Here is a 27,722-nt window from a genome sequence, read left to right as displayed (position 1 = left end):
ATGAGTGACTCTTATATTAAAGCTCTGTGTTAGAGACTACAAGTACTGCAGATGGGCTAACCGAAGACTTATATCTCAAGGAGCTTAAAAACAAGAATGAAATACATCTTTGCTATACACATTTCACTTGTATAATGCAAGGCAGCTTGTATTTGATATTACAGACTATGTTGCCTATTTTGTTCCCAACATTTGGATGGGTTTTGTCCTGTCTTTATCTGACTAATATTTTTCAGTACAGTAAGTCCTTACCATCATTAATAGGTTCTTGGAAATTGTGACTTTAAACTAAATAACATATAAACTAATGACATAAACCCAGTTTTACCATAGACAAAGTAATATGAACATCACCAGTCTTCTAAATAAAAACCCAAGACACTTTTAATAATAAATATTTTGTATTAAATGTGAGCTATACATAAAGATTAATAGAAAATAGCAATATAATTATTTTATTTATCAAACTTTTGGTGAATTAGTGAGTGATCACTGTCGTAATGGTGGTGGTTTAAATCAAGAAATAAATATTTGCAGATCAAAAATTATAAGGAGCACCACTTCCCACCTTGCAGTCAAAAACAAGCAGTAACAAATAAGGTGGGCTCGCTGAGTGCTTTTGTACTGTATCATTTATTGTCATGCATTTGTATGATTATCATCTGTTTTACAAATTTTTGTTTGTCAGTAATTTATATTCATTCATTTATTTATTTTCTAACGCACTAATTCAAGTTCAGGGTCATGGCGGACAGAGATTATCCTGGCAGCTTGGAGTGCAAGGGAGGAACCAGCCATGGACAGGATGCCATCCCATAGCAGGGCACACTCACACACATTCACCCACACTCACACTTAGACTGGTGCCATGTAAACACACCAATGAACTTAATGTACGCATCATTGGGCTGCAGGAGGAAAACAGATGAATTGAGCTAAACCCACCCAGACATTGGGAGCACTTGTAAGCTTCACATAGTCAGTAGTCCTGGCTGGGAATTGATTTTTTTTCTCATCAATCTTATAATGAAACGATGTTGAACTAAACAACCTTGTTGAAGGACCTGCTGTACTTAATTTCCTCCAGAAAGACTTTCATAATCTCCATCAGTCTGTGTAAATTGTTCATTTTCCAATGGAACTTCATGACTAATCCTAACACCAAGTACATGGTGCCAAAGTAATTTATGTATCCATTAGCATCTCTTTTAAGTGTTTATTTAACAAACAAACGTGGAAGTATGTGCAAGATGCTGTTCTATTTGTGTTATGTGATTTAACTAATTTCCTTTGCACAAGACCCCCATGAGTAAATGTTATTTATATTCGTATCTTACAGATGAGGAAACTAGATCCCTGAGGGATACGTAGTATTTGGTAGGATTTGAAGGCAGGTAACCTGGCCCCCGGGCCCAAATCTTAATTCTTAATCAACTGTAAATTCCTCAAGTATAATGACATTTCACATACAATACCTATTTCTAGTATCTAGGCTGGTTTTTAAACAGCACACTATGAAAAGAGGAAATTGTAAATGCCAGGAAAGAATAAAGCATGTTAAATAAAATAGCAACTCTATAAATTTAGCTGAAATGTAAGGTGACATTACTGCAAATTAGAATGAAATAATACATACAAATCATTTTATGAATGGCGTGATTAAAAGAGGGAGTAGTGCACTCAGGTTGCATTAACAGGAAGAGTTATTGGTTGTTGTGCAAAATTAGCTAGAGTTAAAGCAAACAAACAAAAACAGTTAAATATCTATTTCATATGCTACTTCAGAATTAGGCTACTGTTGAAGCATAAAATAGCGTTATTTCTGCTTGTTAAATAAGCAACATAAAAAGAGACTGTTGAATGCAGAGATTTTAGTATAGCATACTGCATATGTGACTTTAAACTAAATAACATATAAACTAATGACATAAACCCAGTTTTACCATAGACAAATTAATATAAATATCACCAGTCTTCTAAATAAAAACCCAAGACACTTTTAATAATAAACATTGTATTAAATGTGAGCTATATGTAAAGATTAATAGAAAAGAGATAGGTAGAGATGAGCTTCTTTTAGAATATAGTCAATTTATTTACACAGAGTAGAAATTGCATCAATAATGGGTAATGGTTTCATGAAGAATCTTTCTTTTTTTTTTTTTTTTTGAGATGGAGTCTCGCTCTGTCACCCAGGCTGGAGTGTGGTGGCATGATCTTGGCTTACTGCAAGCTCCACCTCCCGGGTTCATGCCATTCTCCTCCCTCAGCCTCCCGAGTAGCTGGGACTACAGGCGCCCGCCACCACACCCGGCTAATTTTTTGTTATTTTTTGTAGAGATGGGGTTTTACCATGTTAGCCAGGATGGTCTCCATCTCCTGATCTTGTGATCCCCCCACCTGGGCCTCCCAAAGTGCTGGGATCACAGGTGTGAGCCACCACGCCTGGCCCATGCAGAGTATTTTTTAAACTTACAGAAATTAATTCAGAAAAATGTGCTGGTGGATTAACACATTGTATGTATCTGAAGCTCTCATGATGACAGAGCAAGTAATGATTTTATTCATATTTAAAATAAAATAGCCAAATAGTAGGGAAAGAAAATCTTGCATAGACATAAACACAACAAACAGAAAAAGCTTGTGAAAGATATATTATGACTATTTTAAAGTTGTTAATGGCACAAATAAATTAAAGAAGTTGAATGAAAGGTCATTGGCTCTGTCAGTTGTCTAAACTGAATTGTTTATTCTGATGAGCCATGGCAATCTGACAATACATTTAACCTTTCATACTCATCAGAGAAAAAGAACAGCATTTGGTGACCCTTCTATCACATGGAGCTTTTTAATTTTTCTCTTGGGATAATAACGACAAAATTATGTGTTGCAGTAGATCATTGTGCTTTAGGGAAAACACTTGCCATTCCATCTATATAGGTTGATGAATTGGCCTCAAAAAGCTCATCAACGAATAAAGATGTGGAATTAGAGTAAACATTGTCTTATGTATTGACTATGCTGAAATATTTCTCCATATGGCATTTTAAAAAATCTGAGTGCTGTGAATAAAGAAATGATCTGCGCAGGCTATCATCACTCACTTACCCGTTGTAGACATAAATTAAAGAACAATGTCAAATAGCAGCTGGTGCTTTGAAATGATATATATATATATATATATATATATATCCCCTATATGTATGATATATATATGTGTATATATATCATATATATATCCCCTATATGTATGATATATATGTGTATATATATCATACATATATATATCTCCCATATATATATATGTTCTCTCTCTCTCTCTTTCTCTCTCTTTCTCTCTCTCTCTCTCTATATATATATGTATCCCCTATAATACAACATATCTCTTTTTGAGTAGGTAAAAGATGAGAAATTATTTTAAAGCCAAAGCAGCTAAGTGGGGCTCAAAAGTGAAGAGACGGCCGAGCGTGGTGACTCACGCCTGAAATCCCAGCACTTTGGGAGGTTGATGCGGGTGGATCACCTGAGGTTAGGAGTTCGAGACCAGCCTGGCCAACATGGTGAAACACCATCTCTACAAATCTACAAAAATTATCCAGGCATGATGGTGGGTGCCTGTAACCCAAGCCACTCAGGAAGCTGAGGCAAGAGAATCACTTGAACCCGGGAGGCAGAGGTTGCAGTGAGCAGAGATTGCATCATTGCACTCCAGCCTGGGCGACAGAGTGAAGCTCCAGCTCAAAAAAAGAAAACCAAAAAAAAGTGAAGAGACAAACAATGCTGGCCCAAGCTGGGGGTGGGCAGCATTGTATATTGTAACTCTTAAATATATTTATGTATCTTATTTTCTCAGTGAAATGATATAAAGTTTTGAAAAGAATAAGCTGGTGAGTGATATTTGTATTTTTGTAATTTTAATGTATTTTCTTGACATCGTACCATTATTCTTAATGATAATAGGTATAATTTACTAAGCACCTACAATATATCAGATTTCAAACATACCTTTCCCTAATTTTCACTGGTTATGCATTAGTAGAAAGGAGTCAAAGAAACATTATTAAGAAAGAAACAAAGAAAAGCAGTAAAGTTCAGATAAAGTCACTTATTCAATATGTCACAAACTAAGACATAGGAGACCAGGACTCAAAGCCAGACCTAACTCCAGAACATGTGTTTTTCACCATACAAAGAATCATTAGAAACCTGAATCAGAATATTCTCTTTTGACATTAGAATTCATATCATTGTTTTAAAAAGAAAATAATGTCTGTTAATTTTTTTTCCAAATGCAGAAGGAAATGAACTGCCAGTTAATTTGCTTTTGGGATTGCTGATTTGTTGTTTTTAATGGGCTTAAATGATAAATACATTCATCTAGGTTGGACCTACATTGATTTTCCTATGTGAATTGCTAAGGATAAAAAGATTCAGGACACCAGACTGATATTCTAATGTTAAATAAATGGCCCCTTTGAACTCAATACTAAAATTACACCAAAGATTCTAGAGACATGACCCTCTGACGCTGGTAGACTCAGAAGATCTCTAATGGCACACATTTTAATTTATTTTAACTTATTTCAGGTGAATGATCTAAATGTATGAATAATATTTTGTCTCGTTTTATTTCTACTCCTAATGACTATTATGGTCTTCTACAGATGATTATGGTTTTTCAATCTGTTAATTAAAATTAAGAGTGGATTGAAGATGTGGTAAAACTACTATTCAAATGTGCCACAAGACAGAGACAGGATTCTACATCATCAGTGTTATCTTGAGTTAGAATTAAACATTGATTTCTACTTGTTTTCACTATGAATTACTTTTAGCTTAATCATTAATTAATATTTAAAATTAAATTATTTACTTTAATTTTTTATATTGAAGTGAAATTCACCTAACAAAATTAAACATTTTATTTATTTTTATTTCAACGTTTTATTTTAGATACAAGGGGCATATCTGCAGCAGATATTTTACTTGGGAATATGGAGTGACACTGAGGTTTGGAGAATGGGATCCTGTCACCTGTAGCTAGCATGGTACCCAGTAGGTAGTTTTGCTAACCCACTCTCCCGCCCTCCACCTTTTAGTGTTCATCAGTGCCTATTGCTCCTGTATTTACGTCCACATGAAATGCTTAGCTACCGCTTACAGGTGAGAACATGAGGTATTTGGTTTTCTGTTTCTGGATTAATTTGTTTAGGATTATGGCCTCCAGCTACATCTATGTTGCTGCAAAGGACATGATTTCATTGTATTTTATGTCTATGTAGTATTCCATGGTTCGTATTTACCACGTTTAATTTATCCAATCTATCATTGATGAACACCTGGGTAGCTTTCATGTCTTTGCTATTATAAATAGCACAGTAATAAACATATGAGTTCATGTCTTTTTGGTATGATTGATTTATTTTCTTTTGAGTATATGCTCAGTAATGGGATTGCTGGATAAAACGGTAGCTCTGTTTTAAGTGTTTTGAGAAATTGCCATACTGCTTTCCACAGTGGCTGGACTAATTTACATTCCCATAAAAAGTGTATAAGCATGCCTTTTTCTCCACAACCTTGCCAGCATCTGTTGTTTTTTGGCTTTTTAATAATGGCCATTCTGACTGGTCTTAGATGATATCTCATTGTGGTTTTGATTTGCATTTCTGTGATGATTAATGATGCTGAACATTTTTTTTCATATGCTTCTTGGCCACTTGTGTGTCTTTATTTTTTTTTTTTTTTTTTTTTTTTTTTTTGAGAAGTGTCTATTCATGTCCTTTGCCCATTTTTTAATTTTTTTCCTATTGATTTAAGTTCCCTATAGATTCTGAATATTAAGCCTTTGTCAGATGCATAGGTTGAGTTATCTTCTCCCATTCTGTAGGTTGTCTATTTGTTCTGTTGATAGTTTATTTTGCTGTGCAGAAGCTCTTTAGCTTAAAAAGGTCCCATTGTTCGTTTTTGTTTTTATCGCAATTGCCTTTGGGGACTTAGTAAAAAATTCTTTGTCAAGGCCAATGTTGAGAAGAGTTAGGTTGTTGTCCAGGATTTTAATAATTTGAGGCCTTACATTTAAATCTTTGATCCATTTTGAATTAATTTTTGCATACAGTGAAAGTTAGGGATCCAGCTTCAATCTTCTGCAGATGGCTAGCAGTTATCCCAGCACTGTATATTGAATAGCAAGTCCTTTCCACGTTGCTTTTTTGTTTTCTTGGCCTTGTTGAAGATTAGGTGGTTGTAGGAGTGTAGGTTTATTTCTGAATTGTCTGTTGTGTTCCATTGATCTATGCGTCTGTTTTAGTGCCAGTACCAAACTATTTTGTCTACTGTGTTTTGGTTTTGTTTTGTTTTGTTTTAAATTATACTTTAAGTTCTAGGGTACACATGCACAACCTGCAGGTTTGTTACATATATATGCATGTGCCATGTTGGTTTGCTGCACCCATTAACTCATCATTTACATTAGATATTTCTCCTAATGCTATCCCGCCCCTATCCCCCTACCCCACGACAGGCCCCAGTGTGTGATGTTCCCCACCCTGTGTCTAAGTGTTCTCATTGTTCAGTTCCCAGTGTGAAGTCAGGTAGTGTGATGCCTCCAGCTTTGGTCTTTTGCTTGAGATTGCTTTGGCTGTTTGGGCTCTTTTTGGTTCTATATGAATTTTAGGTTAGTTTATTTCTAATTCTGTGAAGACTGATATTGGTAGTTTGATTGGAATGGCATTGCATTTGTAAAATGCTTTGGGTAGTAAGTCCATTTTTATGACATTGATTCTTCCCATCCACGAGCATGTAATGTATTTCTATTAATTTGTGCCATCTCTGATTTCTTTCAGCAGTCTTCTAGTTCTCTTTGTAGAGGTCTTTCACCCTCCTTGTTTAGCTGTATTACTAGATTTCATTTTCTTTTTGGCTATTGTAAGTGAAACTGTGCTCTTGATTTCACTCTCAGCCTGGATGTTGTTAGTGTATGGAAATGCTACTGATTTTTGTACATTAATTTTGTATGGTGAAACCTTAATAAGTTGTTTATCAATTCTAGGAGCCTTTTAGCAGAGATACTAGAATTTTCTATCTGTAGAATCACATCATCAGTGAAGAGAGATAGTTTGAATTATTTTCCTATTTGGATGCCTTTTATTCCTTTCTTTTCTTTCTCTTGCCTGATTGCTCTGGCTAGGACTTCTAGTACTATGTTAAATGCGAGTGCTGAGAGTGGGCATTCTTGTCTTCTTCCAGTTCTCAAAGGGGATGGTTTGAGCTTTTGCCCATTCAGTATGATATTGGCTATGCTTTGTCATAAATGGCACTTGTTATTTCTAGGTATGTTCCTTTGATGCCTAGTCTGCTGAGGGTTTTTAATCATGAAGGGATGTTAGATCTTATTGAAAGCTTCCTCTGCCACTGTTGAGCTGATCATATGGTTTCTGCTTTTGATTCTGTTTATGCAGTATATCACTTACTTATCTGCATATGTTGAATTAGCCCTGCATGCCAGGAATAAAGCCTACTTGATCATAGTGTATTAACTTTTTGATATGCTACTGGATTTTATTTGCTAGTATTTTGTTGAGGATTTTTGCATCTATGTTCATCAGGGATATTGGTCTTAAGTTTTCTTTTTTTTTTTTCCGTCTCTGCCAGATTTTGTTGTCAGGCTGATACTGGCTTCATAGAATAAGTTAGGAAGGAACTCCTCCTTCTCAATTGTTTGAAAACTTTTAGTAGGATTAGTATCAGTTCTTCTTTGTGCATCTGGTAGACTTTGGCTGTGAATCATCTGGTCAGGGGCTTTATTTGGTGGGCAGATTATTTTCTAACGATTTAATTTCAGAAGTTGATATTGGTCTATTCACGCTTTCAATCTCTTCCTGATTCGATCTCGAGAGATTGTCTGCTTCTAGGAATTTATTCATTTCTTCTAGAATTTCTGTGCATAGAGTTGTTCATAGTAGTCTCTGAGGATCTTTTGTATTTCTATAGGATCAGTTGCAATATCATCTTTGTCATTTCTGATTGATAGCTAAAGGTCTATCAATCTTATTTTTTTTTTTTTGAACAACCAACCCTTGGTTTCATTAATCTTTCATATGAATTTTTACATTTCAATTTCATTAAGTTCTTCTCTAATTTTAGTTATTTCCTTTCTTCTGCTAGCTTGGGGGTTTATTTGTTTTTTTCTTTTTTCTTCATTCCTTTAAGTGCAAAATTAGATTTTTAATTTGAGAACTTTCTAACTTCTTAATGAAGATATTTTAGAGCCATAAACTTTCCTCTTAACACTCCTTTGGTGACATTCTAGAGATTTTGATAAGTTGTGTCTCTGTTTGCATTGATTTCAAAAATTTTTTTCATTCTGTCTAATTTCTGTTTTCATCCAGAAATTCTTCAGGAGAAAGTTGTTTAATTTCTATGTTTTCATGTAATTTTGAGAGATCTTCTTGGTATTTATTTCTATTTTCATTTCACTGTGGTCCAAGAGTTTGCTTGTTACAATTTATATTGTTTTGAATTTGTGGAGGCTTGCTTTATGACTGAGCATTTTGTTGATCTTAGAATATGTTCCATGCACAGATGCGAAAAATGTATACTCTGTGATTGTTGGGTGGAGTGTTCTGTAGATGTTGACAAGGTCCAGTTGGTCAAGTGTCAAGGTAAAGTGCACAATTTTTTAAGTTTCTTGCCTTGGTGATCTACTTAATGCTGTCAGTGGGGTGTTCAAGTCTCTCACTCTTATCATGTGGTTGGCTAAGTCTTTTCATAGGCAAAGAGTATCTTGTATGAATCTGGGTGCCCCAATTTTGTTTGCATGTATTTTTAGAATAGTTAAGGCTTCCTGGTGGATTGTACCTTTTATCATTATGTAATCTTCATTATTATTCTTAATTTTATTGGTTTAAAGTCTGTTTTATCTGATATAAGAACAGCAACTCTGGCTTTTCTTTTGTTTTCTGTTTGCATGGTAGATCTTATTCCACTCATTTACTTTTAGCCTGTGGGTATCAATAGATGTGAAATCGGTCTCTTGAGGAGAGCAGATGGATGGGTCTTGTTTTTTTATGCAACGTGCTACTCTGTGTCTTTTAAGTGGCCATTTAAGTAAGCCTATTTACATTCAAGGTTAGTATTGATATGTGATTTTGATCCTGTCATGGTGTTGTTAGCTGTTTGTTATTTAATATATAGATGTGATTTGTAGTTGCTTTATAGTGACTATGGGCTATGTGTTCATGTGTGCTTTTGTGGTAGCAGGTTTGTTCTTTTGAATCCATGTTTAGCACTCCCCTAAGGACCTTTTGTAAAGATGGTCTAGTTAAAACATATTCCTGTCTGGGTGCGGTGGCTCACGCCTGTAATCGCAGCACTTTGGGAGGCCAAGGCAGGTGGATCACGAGGTGATGAGTTCGAGACCTGCCTGGCCAACGTGGTGAAACCCCATCTCTACTAAAATTACAAAAATTAGCCTCATGTGGTGGCACATGTCTGTAATCCCAGCTACTCGGGAGGCTGAGGCAGGAGAATAGCTTGAACCTGGGAGGCAGAGGTTGTAGTGGGCCAAGATCACGCCACTGGACTCCACCTAGTGACAGAGCAAGACTCCATCTCAAAAAAATAATAATAATAATAATAAAATAATAATTCCCTCAGCATTTGCTCTCAGGGAAAAGTTTTATTTCTCCTTAATTTAAGATGCTTAGTTTGGCAGGATATGAAATTCTTGATTGAAATTTCTTTTCTTTAAGAACACTGAAAACAGGCCCCAGTCTCTTCTAGCTTATAAGGATTCTGCTGTGTGGTCTGCTGCTAGCCCAATAAAGTTCTCTCTGTAGGTCTCCTAGCCTTTCTCTCTAGCTGCCTTTAAGAGTTTTTTCTTTTGCATTGACCTTGGTGAATCTCATGGCTATGTGCCTTGGAAATAGTCATCTTGTATAGTATCTGTTTAGGATTCTCTGTATTCCTTAGGTTTGCATGTTGACCTCTCTAGTGAGATTAGGGAATTTTTCATGAACTATATCCTCAAATATAAGTTATTTATTCTTTCTCCTATTCTCTCAAGAATGCTGATGTGTCATGGATATGGTCTCTTCACATAATCCCATATTTCTCAGAGGTTTTGTTCATATTTGTTAATTCTTTTTTATTTTTGTCTGACCAAGTTGATTTGACAAACTGGTCTTCACGCTCTGAGATTCTTTCCTCAACTTCCGCTGCTAATACTTCTGATTGTATTATACAATTCTTGTAGTGAATTTTTTAGCTCAAGAAGCTCAGTTTGGGTACTTCTTAGAAGAGAAATTTTCTCTTTTAGCTCTTGAGTTATTTTACTGTATTGATTGGCTTCCTTGGACAGAGTTTTAACTTTCTCTTTGATCTCAATGAGCTTTCTTGCCATCTGGATTCTGAATTCCATATATGTCATTTTAGGCAATTCAGAATAGTTCAGAATTATTGCTAGGGAGCTAGTGAGCTCATTTGGGGATAAGGGGATACTATGACTTTGAATTGCCAGCATTCTTGAGCTTATTCTTTCTCATTTGGGAGGGCTGGTATTTCTTTAATTGTGATTTAAATTGAGTATCATCTTTTGACATCATTTCTGAATGTTTTCAGAGGACTAAAGGTCTGTACTGGGTCTTCTTTGATTGTAGAATTCTTGTTCTTGGTTTTGCAGGAGGGGGAATTAGTAAAATGATTTTTGGTGTTGAAGTTTAGGCTGTGATCCAATAAATGCTGATTGAGAGCAACGGGCAGTAGATAGGTTCTTACTCAGTCACATGGTTCCTTTGTATGTCTTTGCATTTGAAGTTGTGTTCTGTGGTGTGAGGAGAAGAGAGGTGACCCTCTCACCAGGTCTGTTCATGGGCCTTGGGAAAGCCACCTCCAATGCCAAACTGTTACCAAACAACCCTGCGGATGGAGGGACAGTTAGGTCCCACACCAGCCCACAAACCTGTGTGACTCAGTCCTCTCAGTTTTCTGAGAGTGTGGGCTCTTCTTCCATTCAAGTGTCAAGCAGAGCTCTGAGTGAGGCCCTTCTGAGCCACAGGCCACAGCTCTCTGGTACTAGGACCTCCTCATGTTTACCCACTCTGGTTGCTCGGGACTGGGTTCTTTCTGTGGTGTGAAATCTGAAAGTTTTCCAAGCTGTTGGAACACATTGAGGTGGAGCAAAGCACTCAGGCTGGGCAGTGGAGGCTGCACTATATACATGTTCCTATGAGGCAGCCAGGACCCAGGGAGGGCTGTAGGGTAGGTGGGCCTGTGGGATAGATGTGTCCCAGTCCCATGGGGAAGCAGGCCCTACTTTCTCCCTGGAGGTTAGCTGGGGCTAGAGCTGACCTATGCCAAAAGGTCCCTGGCTCTGTGCCTGCTGCAACTGTCTCCCCATCTAATCTCCAGGGAGATCCCCTTGCCAGCTCATAGGTCTGTGGGGGTATGGGGTCCCTGCAGCTAGGATTCCAGAGGTCCACAGTGAGAGTAGGCAATCCTCCATTTCCTTCACTCACCCCTTTTCCAGGCACTGTTGGGGAGGGGAACTAGCCATAGTGTTCAGGCATCTCATGCTAGGTTTCTAGCCTCCTCCCTCTTCAGGATCGGCGACTGCATCTCCTCCCCATCCTCATTCAGTTTTCTCTCTTTAAAGATCTGTTCAAATTATGTTGGTGTAGTAGAAATCTCTGTTTTTGTGGGAGCAGCACTTCCTGTATGCATCTACTTGGCCATCTTGCTAAATAATATAGTGTATCTGCTAGACCATCACGTGGCCTCCTTCTCCAAGGAGATTCTAGAGGGCATTGTTGCTAAGCCTGAAATCCAAAATCAAAAATTTTAAAGTGTACAATTCGTGACAATAATACATTCACAGTATTAGACAACCATCATCTCTATCTAGTTTCAAAATGCTTTGCTTACCTCCAAAGGAGAACCTGTATCAGATTAGCAATTACTTCCCATTCCCCTTTACCCCAATTCCAGGAATTTACTACAAAAAAGACAGTACTAGAGGAGAAAGGAGGAACAAAAATGACATTAGACATATAAAAAACAGTGAATATAAACAAATTGAACACTGTAATAGGCAGTTACGTACTTGTTCTGGAACCTTAAAAAAGGCGGGTGTGGGCAAAATTGATTAAAATTAGACACTCTATCCACCCTATTCTATGTATAAGAGATTGACATTAGATGTAAAGACATAAATAGGTTGAGAAGGAAGAGATGGAAAAAGATATTCCATGCAAATAGTAACCACAAAAGAGATGGTATAGCTGTGCTAATACCAGACAAAACACATTTTACGTCAAAACTGTTAAAGAGTACTAAAATATGTGAAGCAAATATTGACAGCATTGAAAGGTGAAATAGACAGCTCAACAGGAATAGAGACTTCAATACTCTTATTTTTGATAATGGATCAAAACTCCAGACTGTTTTTTAATAAAGAAATAGGAGACTTGAATGACACCATAAACTAACCAGACCTAACAGACAAATTTAGAAAATTTCATCCCCCAAACAGCAGAATATAAATTTTTCTCAAGAAAATATGGAGCATTCTCCAGGATAGAAGACTTATTAAGCTACAGAGCAAGTCTCGATAAATTTTAACAGATTGAAATTACGCAAAGTATCTTCTTCATAAACAATGGAATGAAAATAGAAATCACTAAAAGAAGGAAAGCTGGACGATTCACAAATAAGTGGAAATTAATACACTCTAAGTAAAAAATGACTCAAAGAAAAAATCAAAAGGAAGTTTGAAAATACTTTGAGGCAAATGAAAACAAAACACAACATAATAAAACTAAAACACAATAACATTGACTTCATTTTTTACCCATGTAATTACATTTACATGTGTCTTTAAATATTCATTATTGCTTTACATGAATTGTATAAGTTTGGGAGTTTCTGTTTTTATAGGATTTTGTCCAAATTCTATCTAGTGTCTTTTTACTTCAGTCTTCAGGACAGCTTTAAGAATTTCTTATGTGGTAAGTCTAGTAATGTGAATTCTCTCAGATTCTTAAAATCTGAGAATGTCTTGATTTCACCTTAATTTTTGAAGACTAGTTTTGTGAGATATGGAATTCTTGGTTGACAGATCTTTTCCTTCAGCACTTTGAAACTATCATCCTATTGCTTTCTGGCCTTTGGTGATAAATGTGTTGTTAATCTTATTTAGGATCTTTTGTTCATGATGAGTCGCTTCCTTTGTGGTGCTTTGGTGATTCTCTCTTTGTCTTTAACAGTTTGGTTATAAAATGTTATCATGTGGCTCTCTTTGCATTTATTCTTCTTGGAATGTTTAAAGTTCTTAGATGAATAGATTCATGTACGTTAGTAAATTTGGAAAGTGTTGGCCATTATTTCTTCAAATACATTTTCTGTGATCTCTCCTCTCTTTTTGGAAAATTGCGTAACTGGTATTTTGGTACACTTGTTAGTGTTTCATAGGTCTTTTAGCCTCCATTTAGTTTTCTTCTTCCTGGTCTTCAGAGTAATTTCATTTACCTCTGCAAATTTTCTGATTCTTTCTTCTGCCTGCTCATATCTGCTACTGAAACCTTTCAGTAAATATTTCATTCCAATTATAATTTTCAACTCCAGAATTTTTGTTTTACTCATTTTTGTATTTATAATTCTTTGTTAATTTTTATTTGTTTATATATCATTCTCCTAGTTTCCTTTAGCTTTTTGTTGTTGTTGTTGTTGTTCTTTGATCCATGTTTTTCTTTAGCTCTATGAGCAATATTTTCTCTTTTTTTTTTTTGAGACAAAGTTTCACTCTTGTTGTCCAGGCCAGAGTGCAGTAGCATGATCTCGGCTCACTGCAACTTCTGCCTCCCGGGTTCAAGCAATTCTCCTGCCTCAGCCTCCCAAGTAGTTGGGATTACAGGTGCCCACCACCATACCTAGCTAATTCTTTTGTATTTTTAGTAGAGACAGGGTTTCACCATGTTGGTCAGGTTGGTCTCGAACTCTTGACCACAGGTGATCTACTCACCTCGGCCTCCCAAAGTTCTGGGATTACAGGCATGAGCCACCGCCCCCAGCTACGAGCAAATTTTTAAACAGCTGAGTCAGTTTTTGTCTTGTAATTCCAATGTTTGTTCTTCCTCGGAAAGTTTTTGTTAATTTCTTTTTTTTTCTGGGTGTGGTCCGACTTTCCTAGTTTTTTTTTATATATTGCATAACTTTTTGTTTTAAACTCAACACATTTAATATATAATGTAGAAACACTAGAAATAATTTTCCCCTTCTTAAATTCTATGAGTTATCATTGTTGTTTTTTTTTTTAAGTCACTTTTCTCAAAGGCTTTTGAAAATTTTTTTTTATTGTTACGTACTGTCATTTAAATCTTAGTTTCTTTAGCTTTTGACCAGCTTGTGGTTTAACAAAGATTTTCTAAATGCCTGAAAGCCAACGAATAAATAAAACAAAAAAGTCATCTGCTCTGCTGGCCAACACAGGATTGGCCCTATGTTGAGGCATTCTTTCCACTGTTAGTGGAAAACTTAGAATGCTTCCTTAGCCTTTACTTCCTGTTTACATGAGTCTACAGGATATTGGGAGATAAAAGCTTAGGATCTTCTAGGTCTCATTGAACATGTGTCCTGCCTCGTTTATCTGGGATCTCCACTATACATTAAGAATTCTCAAAGCTTTCATTTTTCGAAATAATCCTCTCCTGAGAATTTTTTGTCAGGGCTTCCAATGTGTCTACTGATTGGCCCAATTGTAATCAATTGACCCACGCTTCAGTAGCTTCATCATTTGCCTCTTGATAATTTTTCAGTAATACCCTCTGCTTAGCTGTTTCTCCTCATTAAGAGAGTTCTATTTTGGTGAGCAAAACAGAGGCAAGCACCTTGCATTATTACTTCAGGGAACTTCAAGACTAGTAAAAATGCGCAAACACAGTCACTTGGGAGCAAATTCCACTCTGTGAACTCTGAAATCAGGTAACCACACTGGGAATGTGGACTTCTATTTTCAAGACTGCTACCACTCAGGAAGAGGGATGAAGCAAGGCTAGGCGAAATTGAAATGCCACAGAGTTCACTTAACATGCTTAATTAGCCTTTTTCTTGACTCAGTATATAGGCTTCTTTGCTGTCAACCTTTGACTGTTTTCCCAGACTCCAACAAAGTTGACTCTGGCAGTCTTTGTTCCATTTGTGTGCCCAGATAGACCTTTGACGTTCACTACCAGATTGTTTTTGCTGGTGTCATTTAGTGAAATCTGTAGATATTTTTAAAATGGAATGAGTAGTGATGTGCTTTTGCTTTAACCATATTTTTGGCATATGATTTTTCCAATAACTAGACCATTGAAAAATGCTTTGGCTCCTATATAGGTTATACATATATCCCTCTTGCTGGAGAAGACATATGTGCAATTTTCTATTATAAAACCTGAATTATTTTTCTTATAAAAGAACAAAAGGTAGAATAAATTATATTCTCAAACACAGATTAACAATAGCATAAAAGCAGAAAAAATTCTGGTGAACACTGTAGGAAGGAAATGCAAGAAACTAGCCTCCTTTGGATACATTTCCATAGTGATAAAGTAGGTCATATCTGCTATATTAATTGGTAGTTCTTTAAATTTTTAAAAGCCTTTTCAGACTTTTTAATTTTTTAAAAGATTCCTCTTGTTTTTTCGTTAGAAAACAAACAAACACACACACACACAAAAATGGTGTTAGTCTTGTGAAGGCAGCAAAAAATTCTAGTGGCTAAGAAGTTTGTAAATCAGGAAATCCTATAGGAAGAATTAAGAAAAATGGTAGTGATTTTTATGGTGTTCAAGTATTTAAAGCTTTGAGTCAATATTTTGACTGTTAGTAATGATTATTAATAGTTCTGGGGGCCGGGCGCCATGGCTCACGCCTGTAATCCCAGCACTTTGGGAGGCCGAGGCAGGCGAATCACGAGGTCAGAAGATCAAGACCATCCTCGCTAACACGGTGAAACCCCGTCTCTACTAAAAATACAAACAAAAAAAAAATTAGCCGGGCGTGGTGGCAGGCACCTGTAGTCCCCGCTACTCGGGCGGCTGAGGCAGGAGAATAGCGTGAACCTGGGAGGCAGAGGTTGCAGTGAGCCAAGATCATGCCACTGCACTCCAGCCTGGGCAACAGAGTGAAACTCCATCTCAAAAAAAAAAAAAAAAGTTCTGGCAAGTAACTAATTACTATTTTGATGTTGTCAGAAAAACAAATGGGGTTCAAAGAAGAGCTAAATCACTTGCCTATGATTGTATAGTAAATGGCATAGGTGGGATTTTAATCTACATCTTCAAAGCTCTATAAAAGGTGTTGCAATTGCTATAAAAGTGATAGCAGATCAGACCAAGTCCAAGGACCTAACATTGCACGGGGAGTGTGTAGTGTATGTATAGCCAACACAAGGAAGAACACTAGATTGAGAATATAAGCAAAGAGAATCTGAGTAATTTCCTTACAGAAACAAACCTTACTGAATCCCATCACTCAAAGCAAAAGGAGTTATGTAATCTATAGATGCTACAAATATATTCTGAAAAGAAAACACAATGTGGCATTGTTTCAAAAATGCACTACTCAGATCCTAATATTTTGAGTATTATCCAGTAGAGCTCAGCTATGTAGATCCTTCAAGGGAGGAATTAGTCTAAAATGAAGAATAATTTATATTATTAATAATTCAGATTATTAGTGATAACATTCATTTTTATTTGAAATAACTCTAAAAATAAGTTTTACACATAATTTATTAAATGATTGCTTTTTGTTGCAAATGATGCATTTGTTGCAAATGATGCATCTGAAGTGTGTGCGTTTGTGTTTCATTTTCTTTTCTGCCAGGCTTCCATTAAAAGTGTTAGCTAGATCCCTCTAGCTAGTTCCTTCTGGTAACAGTTCCTTTGTGCCTTTCATCTACATTTAATTGACTGATGGTCATATAGAGATATGAAAAAGCACTTTATAAATCCTTTGGCTAAATGAAAAGATCAAATCTAATAATTATAAGAAATTTAAAATCAATTAGTAAAATAAGAAAAATAAGAAAATTGAGTGTTAAATTAATTAGCATTAATTACATATTTTAAACATGTAACAGCAATATAATTTCCATTCAAGTGAACTGCAACCAATTTTCAGTTTGCTATTATAAACAATCTAGGTATAGGCTGGGTGCGGTGGCTCATGCCTGTAATCCCAGCACTTTGGGAGGCCGAGGTGGGCAGATCATGAGGTCAGGAGATGGAGACCATCCTGGCTAACACGGTGAAATCCCATCTCTAGTAAAAAATACAAAAAAAATTAGCCGGGCATGGTGGCAGTCTCCAGTAGTCCCAGCTACTATGGAGGCTGAAACAGGGGAATGGCGTGAACCTGGGAGGCAGAGCTTGCAGTGAGCTGAGATCGCGCCACTGCACTCCATCCTGGGTGACAGACAAGACTCCCTCTCAAATAAATAAATCAATAATAAAAAATAAACAACTAGGTATATGTACTTTTCCATTTGTAGAAATGTTATGATTTAAAACACTGAGATTCTTAAAACTAATTTATTCTCTGAGTATTCTTGGATTTAGCATAATCACACAAAAACCAAACCAATGAAATTACAGTATTGAGGTAGACTTACAATATAAGTATCATCAACATACTTTGGCTTTTCTATTTCTACTTTCTTCCTCATAAAATTTCTCAACATGTTTCTCTATAGCATCATTGTGTTAATTAAAGAAGTAGACATCAGAGAAAGGCTACTAAATTGAGTAAGATTAAGTTTTCAAGAAGAATCAAAGTAGCTATAAAATTCAACTACTTCAACCTTGTTTGTCCTCACCTCTGTATTTTGTATGCTTAGTTCAATCTCTAAAATAACTATACCTTTTCATCAGTTTGCAATAAAACCACATTCAATGTTAAATTCTAAAGTTCAGTCACTAAATTGCACATGATAAAATTCAAAATGGAAATCATCAAATATTGTTGAAAATGAGAGTCAAGACAATTATCAAAAGTGTCATTTTGAGTACAGAAGTTGTGAAAAATAATTAGTTAATGCTGGGTTGGAATTCAAAACAGATTTTCAAAGACAGGATAGTTTATGGAACTATAAAAAATGATCTCTGATAACATAATAACATAATGTCCTAAGAGGAGAAATAGTTTATTCCAATTTTACCATAGAATTGTTTTCTCATGTACACTGCTATTTACTAAAATAATAGCTGCAAGCATTTTATCCTGGCAAACATTTAGTGTCATTGTACTACAAACATTTTTTGATGATATTATACAATAGGTTATAACACTGTCAATGTTTCTATATGTAATATTTAGTAACTATGCCCTTTCTTATACTATTTACTTATAGTTCTATCATTACCTCATTGATTCATTTATACTGTAAGGAATCTTTTTATTTACAAATATTTGTATTAAGTTTTATATCTAAACATATCCTAGTATTTGTTAAATGATTCATCATGTCTATCTTGCTCCGTACTTCCTTGAAGATGGGTCTTTATATGGATGAGTCTTTTTACTGAAGCATCAAGTACAGTCTGCACATATATCTGGATTCTTAGAAATGTATATTTAAGATTAAAATGATGATAAGCAATTCTTATGAGAACTATCTGAAATTTTATCTAGAGCTCATATATATTTTTATATTTCTATCTACTCAACTATTTATGTACCTATCTATATATTTTTTCTCAGTACAAAAGTAATTTATATCCACTGAACAAAGACTGCAAATGTAAACCAAACAAGACAAAATGCAGTTGACCTGAATAATATAGGTTTGAACTCCACAGGTTCACTGATTTTTTTCATAAAAATATGGAAGTTTATTTTGGAGATTTGGACAATTTGAAAAAATTCTCAGAACAACCGTGTAGTCTAGAAATGTGAAGAAATGAAATAAAAGTTGTGTATATTATGAAGCATATAATAGATTTAGATACTAGTCTATTTTATTATTTGCTATTATTAATTATAAACAAATCTATTATAAGAAGTTAACATTTATCCAGACTTATTCACACAATCGCTTACATACTGTACATAGCGCCATTCACAGTCCAGAGAAATGTAAACAAACCAAGATGCAATATTAAATTATAACTGCATAAAATTAACTGTAGTACATACTGTACTACTTAATAGCCACCTCCTATTGCTCTTGTAGTGAGCTAAAGTGTTGCAAGTATCCTCATAAAATGCAATCATCTCCACTCCACGTGAGCAGTTCGTCTCTCTATTAAATTTTGTATCACAGTAAAAAGTCTCACTCACGGTGCTCAAGTATTCTTGACCATGTTCAATGCAATGCCATAAACTTTGAATAACATTATGAGACGCTTACAAAGTACCACTAAGTGATGTGGAAATGCTCCCAAGGATCAGAATTAAGTCATAATATGAAAAAAAAAGTTGGTTGGCTCGATAATGTACCATAGATGGAGGTCTACAGATGTGGTTGCCTGCCGTTTTAGACTATTCATCTTGTAAACAGATGATGCAAACTTATGGCAATGAAAAATATAGTACAGTACTGTAAGTGTATTTTCTCTTCATTATGATTTTCTAAATAACATTTTCTTTCCTCTAGCTTACTTTATTGTAAGAATAAATTATACAATTTATATAACATACAAAATATGTGTTAATTGTTTATGTTACCGTAAGGCTTCAGGTCAGCAGTAGGCTCTTAGTAATTACGTTTCTGGGGAGTGAAAAGTTATGAGCAGGTTTTTGACCATTCATGACATCAGTGCCACTATCCCCTATGTTGTTAAGGGGTCAGCTGTAAAACATAACAAAACAAGTTTAATGCAGTTTTCCATAACCACAGTTAACCTCTGAGCATGTATCTCTTCAGTCCATGCACAGACTTCGCTTATTTTATTTTTAATGACTTAATTATACCATTCATACAGTATTGTGCTATGTTTATATAATTTATTGAATCTTAAATTAGTGTTTTATAAACATTTTTTAACGTGTATTCTATTGCACCAAGTGGCTATATCATTTGTCATTTACATAAATATTCATTTATGTCTGGGCTTTTAAATTGCTTAAAATGTTTCCTACAACATAATAATGTGAAGATTGTATTCATGCATAAAGCTTTATTCATATTTATTGTTATTTCCTCAGAATAGTTGACCAGAAGTGAGTTAGTATCACAAGGGGCAGACATATGTGGAATAACCTTCATGCTAATTATTAATTATTTTGTACATGCAAGTTACACTGCCATTAGGAATATAAGAAAGTGCCTATTCCATTGAGCACTCTTTAAAATTATGTACTTCTAATTTGTGAAATTAAATTGAGACTAACTGATACAATTTCATTTAGTTAAAACATAATGAAGTTGAAAAGTTGAGTATTTTCTTTATATTTTTTGATGCACAGAAGCAATATCCAAACAATGCAGAAGTGTATATGGTAAGAAGAAAAGTCTCCTTTTATAAGGGCTCATAGCTCTTTCTCTTTAGGACGATGGAGCAGGTTGTTGAGTAATCTCTCAGATTATTTACTGAAGCAATTACATAAAAGAGCATTAAAATATGCAGTAGTTTTTATATCTGGAATATATTCAATTTAAAATGAATAATTTTGGAGACATCTCTGTGTCAGTACTAATACACTATCATTTTTACAACTGCAGCGTGGAATTTCATTTGGTGGAAGGTTCATTGTTTAAGCACTTGTCTAATGTTTTACATTTGAATATTTCTACATTTTCTTGTTGCAACCAGTGCTGCAATAAATATCCTTGTGCATGCTACTTTGTGGTCATTTATGAGCATTTATTAAGGGTAAATACTGAGGGACATTATTGCTTTATTAAAGCAGAGTCACAACTTAACTTTTACAGAATAATGCCAAATCGTTATCCAGAAAACCTAAAACAATTACGTTTCTACCAATACTATATGAGAGATTATATTTGTTCACTTCCTTAGCAGTCTTGGATCTTAACACACTTTATTGTTGTTGCTAATTAAATGGTGAAATACATATAACTTTTTAGGGATTTAATTTACATTCATCTAATTATTTATAAGATTGTGAATCTTCTGATGTTTATAGATCATTAATTCCTCCCTTATATGAGTAATAGCCATTTGTTACATTTCCTTTTCAGTTCTTTTCTTGTTTTGACTATTAATAATTCATTTTATAGTCAGAATATTGACCTTTTCTGTCATATTTTCTCTCATTTGTTAGATTACCTTAACCATTGTTTATTTTTAATATAGTCACCTTTGTCAAGCTTTATGCTTTTAACTTATATGACTTTTATCTTGCTTTAAAAAGTCTCTTCTTCAATATGTATGTTTTTTGTTTCTAATAGCATTATAATACTATTAATACCAATCGTCAAATACTATATATAATTTTATTCACTTCAATTTTTTCATCGATATAGATATCATTTTATGTTAAAAATTATATATACATGTGTTTAATATTAAATTACCTCAATACTCTAGATTATACAGTGTTTAGCTCAACCCACTATATTATATAGCCTATATTTTCCCTACTGATATAAAATGCTACCTTTATTCTATTATTAATTTTATACATATGATATGTTTGCTTCTAAAACCTTTATTCTATTCCACCAATATTTTCTGTCTTGTTAAAACACCACTACATTGTTTAAATTTATAACAATGGAGTGTAGTATGTATGTGCGTGTATATAGAGGTTTTTATGTGCATGTATATATACATATACAAGGACTATATAAAATCAGGAAATTTATATTATATTTAGGAAAATATCATCGAATAGTTTTCTTTGTGTTTTTGACCTAGAACAAAATTTGTTGCATGGGTAAGACATTCACATTGTTAAAGGCATACAAACAGAAGTTATGTATTTTGAAAAATCTCCCTTTTATCCCCTGCCTTTCACCTGCACAGTTTCTACACTTGTAAAGTGCTACTCCCATCCTTAAGATAAGTAACTGATCTTTTGATTTGGGGTAGAAGAGAGTAAAGAGAGTTGAATTAATTCATTATACTCCCTAGTTCACAGAATACCACAATTATTTATATGGACAAGATCCTTCTTTTATTAGTTTATCAATTGTCTTTATTTCTATTCCACACTTTAATTTTCCTTCTCCAAACCGTGTAGTCAACAACTCTCATGTTTAAAGTATCCTTTGCTTTGTATTTTTCTTATAAAATGGGTATAGCTTTTGGGCTTGTTTGTGTTTGCTGTTTTTTTTTTTACAGTTTTCATTTATGTAAATGATAATATGGCTTATATCCCATATTGCGTCTTACTTCTTTTCTTTTTTTTTTTTTTTAAGACAGAGTGTTGCTCTGTCACCCAGGCTGGAGTGCAGTGGTGCGATCTCAGCTTACTGCAACCTCTGCCTCCCAGGTTCAAGCCATTCTCCTGCCTCTGCTTCCTGAGTAGCTGGGATTACAGGCACATGCCACCACGTCTAGCTAATTTTTTTTTTTTTTTTTGTATTTTTAGTAGAGATGGAGTTTCACCATGTTGGCTAGGATGGTCTCGAACTCCTGACCTCAGGTCATCTGAGTTCCTCGGCTTTCCAAAGTGCTGGGATTACAGGCATGAGCCACTGTACCCAGCTGTGTCTTACTTATTTTCTTTCAATCCTACATTTTAAAGAAATATTCTTGTTGCTCTGTGTATATTTAGTCTACTGCTTTATAATCATCCATAGAAATCTATAGTGTGGCCCACCACATTTTACTTAATCAGTCATGTGTGCGTTCATGTAACTTCGGTCACTTTTGGATTGGTTGATGGCTGAGCTCAGCTAGGGTATCTGGGATGGGTGGGCTTCTCTCGCAGTGTTTTTTTTTTTTATGATCAATGATCCTATACAACATTCTTCAAAAAGTGACTGCAGTACTCTAAGAGGGAAGGCCCTAACTGGTCAAGTCTCTGCTTCCTCCTGTTTGCTGATATCCCATGGGCATAAACAAGTCACATGGCCAAGTCTAGGGTCAGTGTGGGAGAGGACTACCCAAGGGCATTGATACTGGCAGGTAGGATTAATTGGAGGCCATTGTTATAACAATCTAGTATTTAAGGTATTAGTTCAACTGTTTGTCTCTCTCTTGAGGTAGCTTTATATTTGTCCTGATTTTATGAATAGTCCATTACTTTCCACTTGCAGCCCATATACATGTAGTATATTTCTGAACAGTCTATTTATTTCACTGGTCTTTCTCTTTCTTAATAAATAAATTCTTCACTGATTTCCTTCTAGAACCTGTATAATATGTATAAATATGCAGGAGAAAAAAATCTCCCACAGTTTTTCTCCTCAAAACCTATTGGCTGTCTTTTATGGTAGGGTTTCCATAAAATTTACAGTCAGTTTACCAAGTTAAACAGCATTAGTATTTTAATTTTAGATTTTAGAATCAGCCAATCTAATTATAAAATGTTAATATTTTGAAAGAGTATATTAAATTTATAGATTGAGTTTTAACATTTTAAAGGAATATGATAGATTTCTATTTATTTCAGTCATTTTTAATTGCAATAGAAAGAAAAATTTATTTCTGCTTCTGCGTGTTCATAGATATTTTACCTTTTTAGTTGCTAATAGTCATTTTTCCAATTCTCTCTCTTGTTTTTGTTAGTATATATAAAATGTATTAATTTTATATTATTTTGTGCCCCTTGACATTTCAAATTATTCTAGTTTAACAGTAGGTTTACAGTTTATTTTCTAGTGTTACCTATATTCTATTATATCATCTTTGCCCCTATGTTTGCAATTTCTAATCTGCTAAATATCTTCATCTTTTATTGTTCTATTGGTTACTATTGTATTTTTAGTTCTGAAATATAATTTTGATGATAGGCCTTGACCTGGAGAATTTGTTCACTCTCAGGTTTTTAGAATACCTGCTTCTAGAATCTGTTTGTTATTTAAATCCCTTCAGGATTTATCTCTTGTCTTTCATTTAAAATTTGGTATCTACAAAAAGGCTATTTCTTCTTAAATCAATAATAGTTAAATAAATCCAACCATTAATTGAATAGCTCAAGGAAAACATAGGAGTCAAAGGCTAAAATGCTTCCAAATGTTTATTTAGAGATAATTTGAAGACCCTAAAAGCAAAACACAACTTTGACTTTATTTTCCCTAATTTGCACATATCCCAAAACATGCAAACCAAAATATAAACTTTTTTAAAAATAGCAAATCCAGATAAATTTCTAAACATATATTACAACCTATTTTATGTATATTACATAGTCTGGTAAGCAATAATTACTCATGCAGTTTTAATGTGTCTGGAGAAATTGTAAAGGGTAATTGGAAAATAATAATACATTAACTAGTATTGATCATATGTGTAACCTTTACTACATGGTTATTAAAATTACGTGTATTGGCCAGGTGCAGTGGCTCACGCCTGTAATCTCTGCACTTTGGGAGGCTGAGGCACACAGATCACGAGGTCAGGGGATCTAGACCATCCTGGCTAACATGGTGAAACCCTGTCTCTACTAAAAATGCAAAAAATTTGCCGGGCACGGTGGCACGCCTCTGTGATCCCAGCTATTTGGGAGGCTGAGGCAGGAGAATCACTTGAACCCAGAAGGTGGAGGTTGCAGTAAGCCAAGATTGTGCCACTGCACTTCAGCCTGGGCTACAGAGTGAGACTCTGTCTCAAAACAAAACAAAACAAAAAATGGGTATTTTACCTATAATTAAATGTTAAGAAGCATTTTCTAAAACTTTACCAGAAGTAAGAAAATGTTACCTAAATATTCATTTCAGGTAAAAACAAAAGTTAAAACAATTTATGTTCCCCACTTGCAAAGTTGATACAATTTTTCTTTATCAGCTGTCAAATGAACCCTATTAGAAATTAAATATACATGTCACGTCCTCACTCCATGTAGCTCTATACATTAACTAGACTTTAGTTTTTCACACTCTTTAGCTAAGGAACTCTGTGACTGCTGTTTTGCGTTTCCATCCCCAGATACACTTGCCACTGCTCTGCACCTTGCCCTCCATCCCAAAAGGCTCGCTAATATGGTTTCTTGTTGGTTTGGAAAATGAGAGGCCTGACTGGAGATTGCAAGGAGTGGGACCAGAGTACTAGCCCCCACCATTGGCTCCTTGTCTGCTCATTTATAGGAGAGCAGTGGTTTCCTCAGATCAGAATTCACAGCTCCTCAGGAAGCATACATTTGCAAATAGCTCCTTTCTTCCAGGACCAGCAGTGGTAACAGCTTCATTGTTACTCTCCTCATATTACCGCATTACCCTTGTGGTCAGTTGACACTTCTCTGAAAATAGTCACTTTATTGTGCCCCTCTTGATTTATTCCAATTAGAATTTGCCCTTTCCTTCTGGCATCTAGACCAATATAAACTCTCTCTTCAAATGAAAGCCTAACATAACAAAAATGTAATTTACTAGCTGAAGCCGGGATGTAGCTACATCCATCCCTTCTCCCATCTTCGAAGAGGTTCCGGAAACACTCTTTGAAAGTCAGGGCATAGGAATATAAGCACCCTTCTGCTTGACTGTAGTTTACCTTAAGGATAAAGACCATTTATTTTCTCTCCATTTCCTTCATAGTGTTTTACACAGTGTACACACATAGTAGATTGTGCATAATTATTGAATTTGGTCATATGGTATCTAGAATCCAACTCATGCAAAACCTGTTTCTTCATAAATTTTTTTTTCAGTTACTATCTCTCTCTTGCATGTATAAAATGAACACATTGGTAATATTTTTTGATTAATTAATAGATTTTAAAACTGCTTTTCCTTTTCTTTTTTTGAGACAGATTCTCACTCTTTTGCCCAGGCTGGAGTGCAGTGGCTTGATCTTGGCTCACTGCAACCTCTGCCTCCCGGGTTCAAGTGATTCTCCCACCGCAGCCTCCCAAGTAGCTGGGACTACAGATGCATGGCACCATACCTGGCTAATTTTTGTATATTTAATAGAGACAGGTTTTTGTCATGTTGGCCAGGCTGGTCTTGAATGCCTGGCCTCAAGTGATCCATCCACCTCAGCATCCCAATGTGCTGGGATTACAGGTGTGAGCCACTGCGCCCGGCCTTGCGTTTGCCTTTGTTTCATCTTACTTTTCTGTTTTTACCTCTGTACTTTATAAACATTTTCTCATTCTTCTAATTGCTTACTCTGTTTCTTCTATGCCACCTCTGACCCATTTATCAACTCCTGCATAAAACACACATTAATCAGAAAAATGAGTGACTTTAGGGAAGCTACTCTTTTCAGATTTTCAGGTTATTTTTTCAATCCCAAATTAGGAAGAACAACCAATTTTATAAAATGCCACCTTAAGACATAGTTGTCAGTTTCATGTCCTAAGCTCTTAATCTCCTGAAAAAGAGTTAGAGGGCTTTAATATTTGAAATACAATCTACAATGTATATGATGTACACAGATTTTACCTGAGTACAGTGGTTTATTTCTATAATCTCAGCACACTGGGAGGCCAAGGTGGGAGGATCCTTGGAATCCAGGAGTTCAAGGCTAGCCTTGGCAGCACAGCGAGACCCATCTCTACAAAAAATACGAAAATTAGCAAGGCATGTGGTATATGCCTGTAGTCCCAGCTACTCAGGAGTTTGAGGCAGGGATTCCCTTGAGCCCAGGAGTCAGAGGCTGCAGTTACCTAAGATCTGGCCACTGAACTCCAGCTTGGGCAACAGAGTGAAACCCTGTCTCAAAAAAAAAAATTAATTAAAATTTAAAAATCTGATTTAGCCATATGTCCCAATTACTCACTAGAAGTGGTAGACCTTTATACTGCAATACTAATCCTGTTAAGCAACTGGACACTTTGAATGTACTATAATTAAATTATGGATTTCGGTTTTGATTTTGCCTAGAACAATTAGAGTCCCTACATATCAGAATAAATAGAATACTGAAAGAAAATAAGGACTTCCATGTTTAGAAGCACATTCTAGTTTTTTAAGGAAAAAAAGTCTAAAAGTGAAATTTAGGGAAGAAGTAATATAGCTAAAACGTTTAATGTAGAATTTCTATGATGTACTTATTCAGGTGGGAGAATAGCCTGTGGTTTATTTTAGCTTCTTTAACCTATGCTTTGGAAACAGAAAACTTCAAAGTGCTATCATTTCTCAAACACATCTAAGCATTAGGACCATTCAGAAACTGTCCTTGCTCTTGTAATAAATCTTTACTAAATGTGGCAATTCCAGTTCTCTCTGCTTCCCCTCTCACAAACATGAATGTGACCACCCTTTATAAACAGGTATGTTTTACTGAACTATTTATGTGATGATGTTCAGATAAAAACTGAATCCTCTGGTACTTGAGTAGGAAGGACATTCAATCTTTTCTTACAAGGGTTGGTGTGGGATAATAGAAAAAACTAAATATAAATTCCTTTATATTCATTTATTCATAAATGAATGATAGCTCATGTCAGATTTATGGTTTATGTCCATGAAAATACTGTGTCAGCTATAACATAATGGAAGATGTCATTGAAACAGCGTATTTTGAGTGGGTTTACTTATTAATTATGTGTAGGGGAAGAATTATGATTATAGCATCTTATATGTTCAGCATTTACCTTTCAGTTAGAAAACATGACATTTATAATCCAATTAGAAAAGCTAGATATTAATAATATGACCCACACTTATTTAT

The 27,722-nt window shown here is 35.1% G+C and overlaps 1 protein-coding gene across 4 annotated transcripts in view, besides 1 other annotated feature; it reads left to right on the top strand.

Annotated features, from left to right (window-relative positions):
- FSTL5 (follistatin like 5) overlaps positions 1-27,722 on the top strand; it is a 780,104-nt gene that overhangs the window by 744,987 nt on the left and 7,395 nt on the right. The window lies entirely within an intron of this gene.
- Positions 24,959-25,513: an enhancer, noted in NCBI's record as "OCT4-NANOG hESC enhancer chr4:162314653-162315207 (GRCh37/hg19 assembly coordinates)". NCBI's record gives its function as "activates a minimal SCP1, AML or CMV promoter by ChIP-STARR-seq in naive H9 embryonic stem cells {active_cell/tissue: H9 hESC(naive)}" and the evidence as "EXISTENCE:reporter gene assay evidence [ECO:0000049][PMID:30033119]".

This window comes from Homo sapiens, chromosome 4 (genome assembly GCF_000001405.40).
Source record: "Homo sapiens chromosome 4, GRCh38.p14 Primary Assembly".
NCBI lineage: Eukaryota > Metazoa > Chordata > Mammalia > Primates > Hominidae > Homo > Homo sapiens.
Note: the sequence above shows the minus strand (reverse complement) of the source record. Positions and strands in the feature narration are given on the sequence as shown.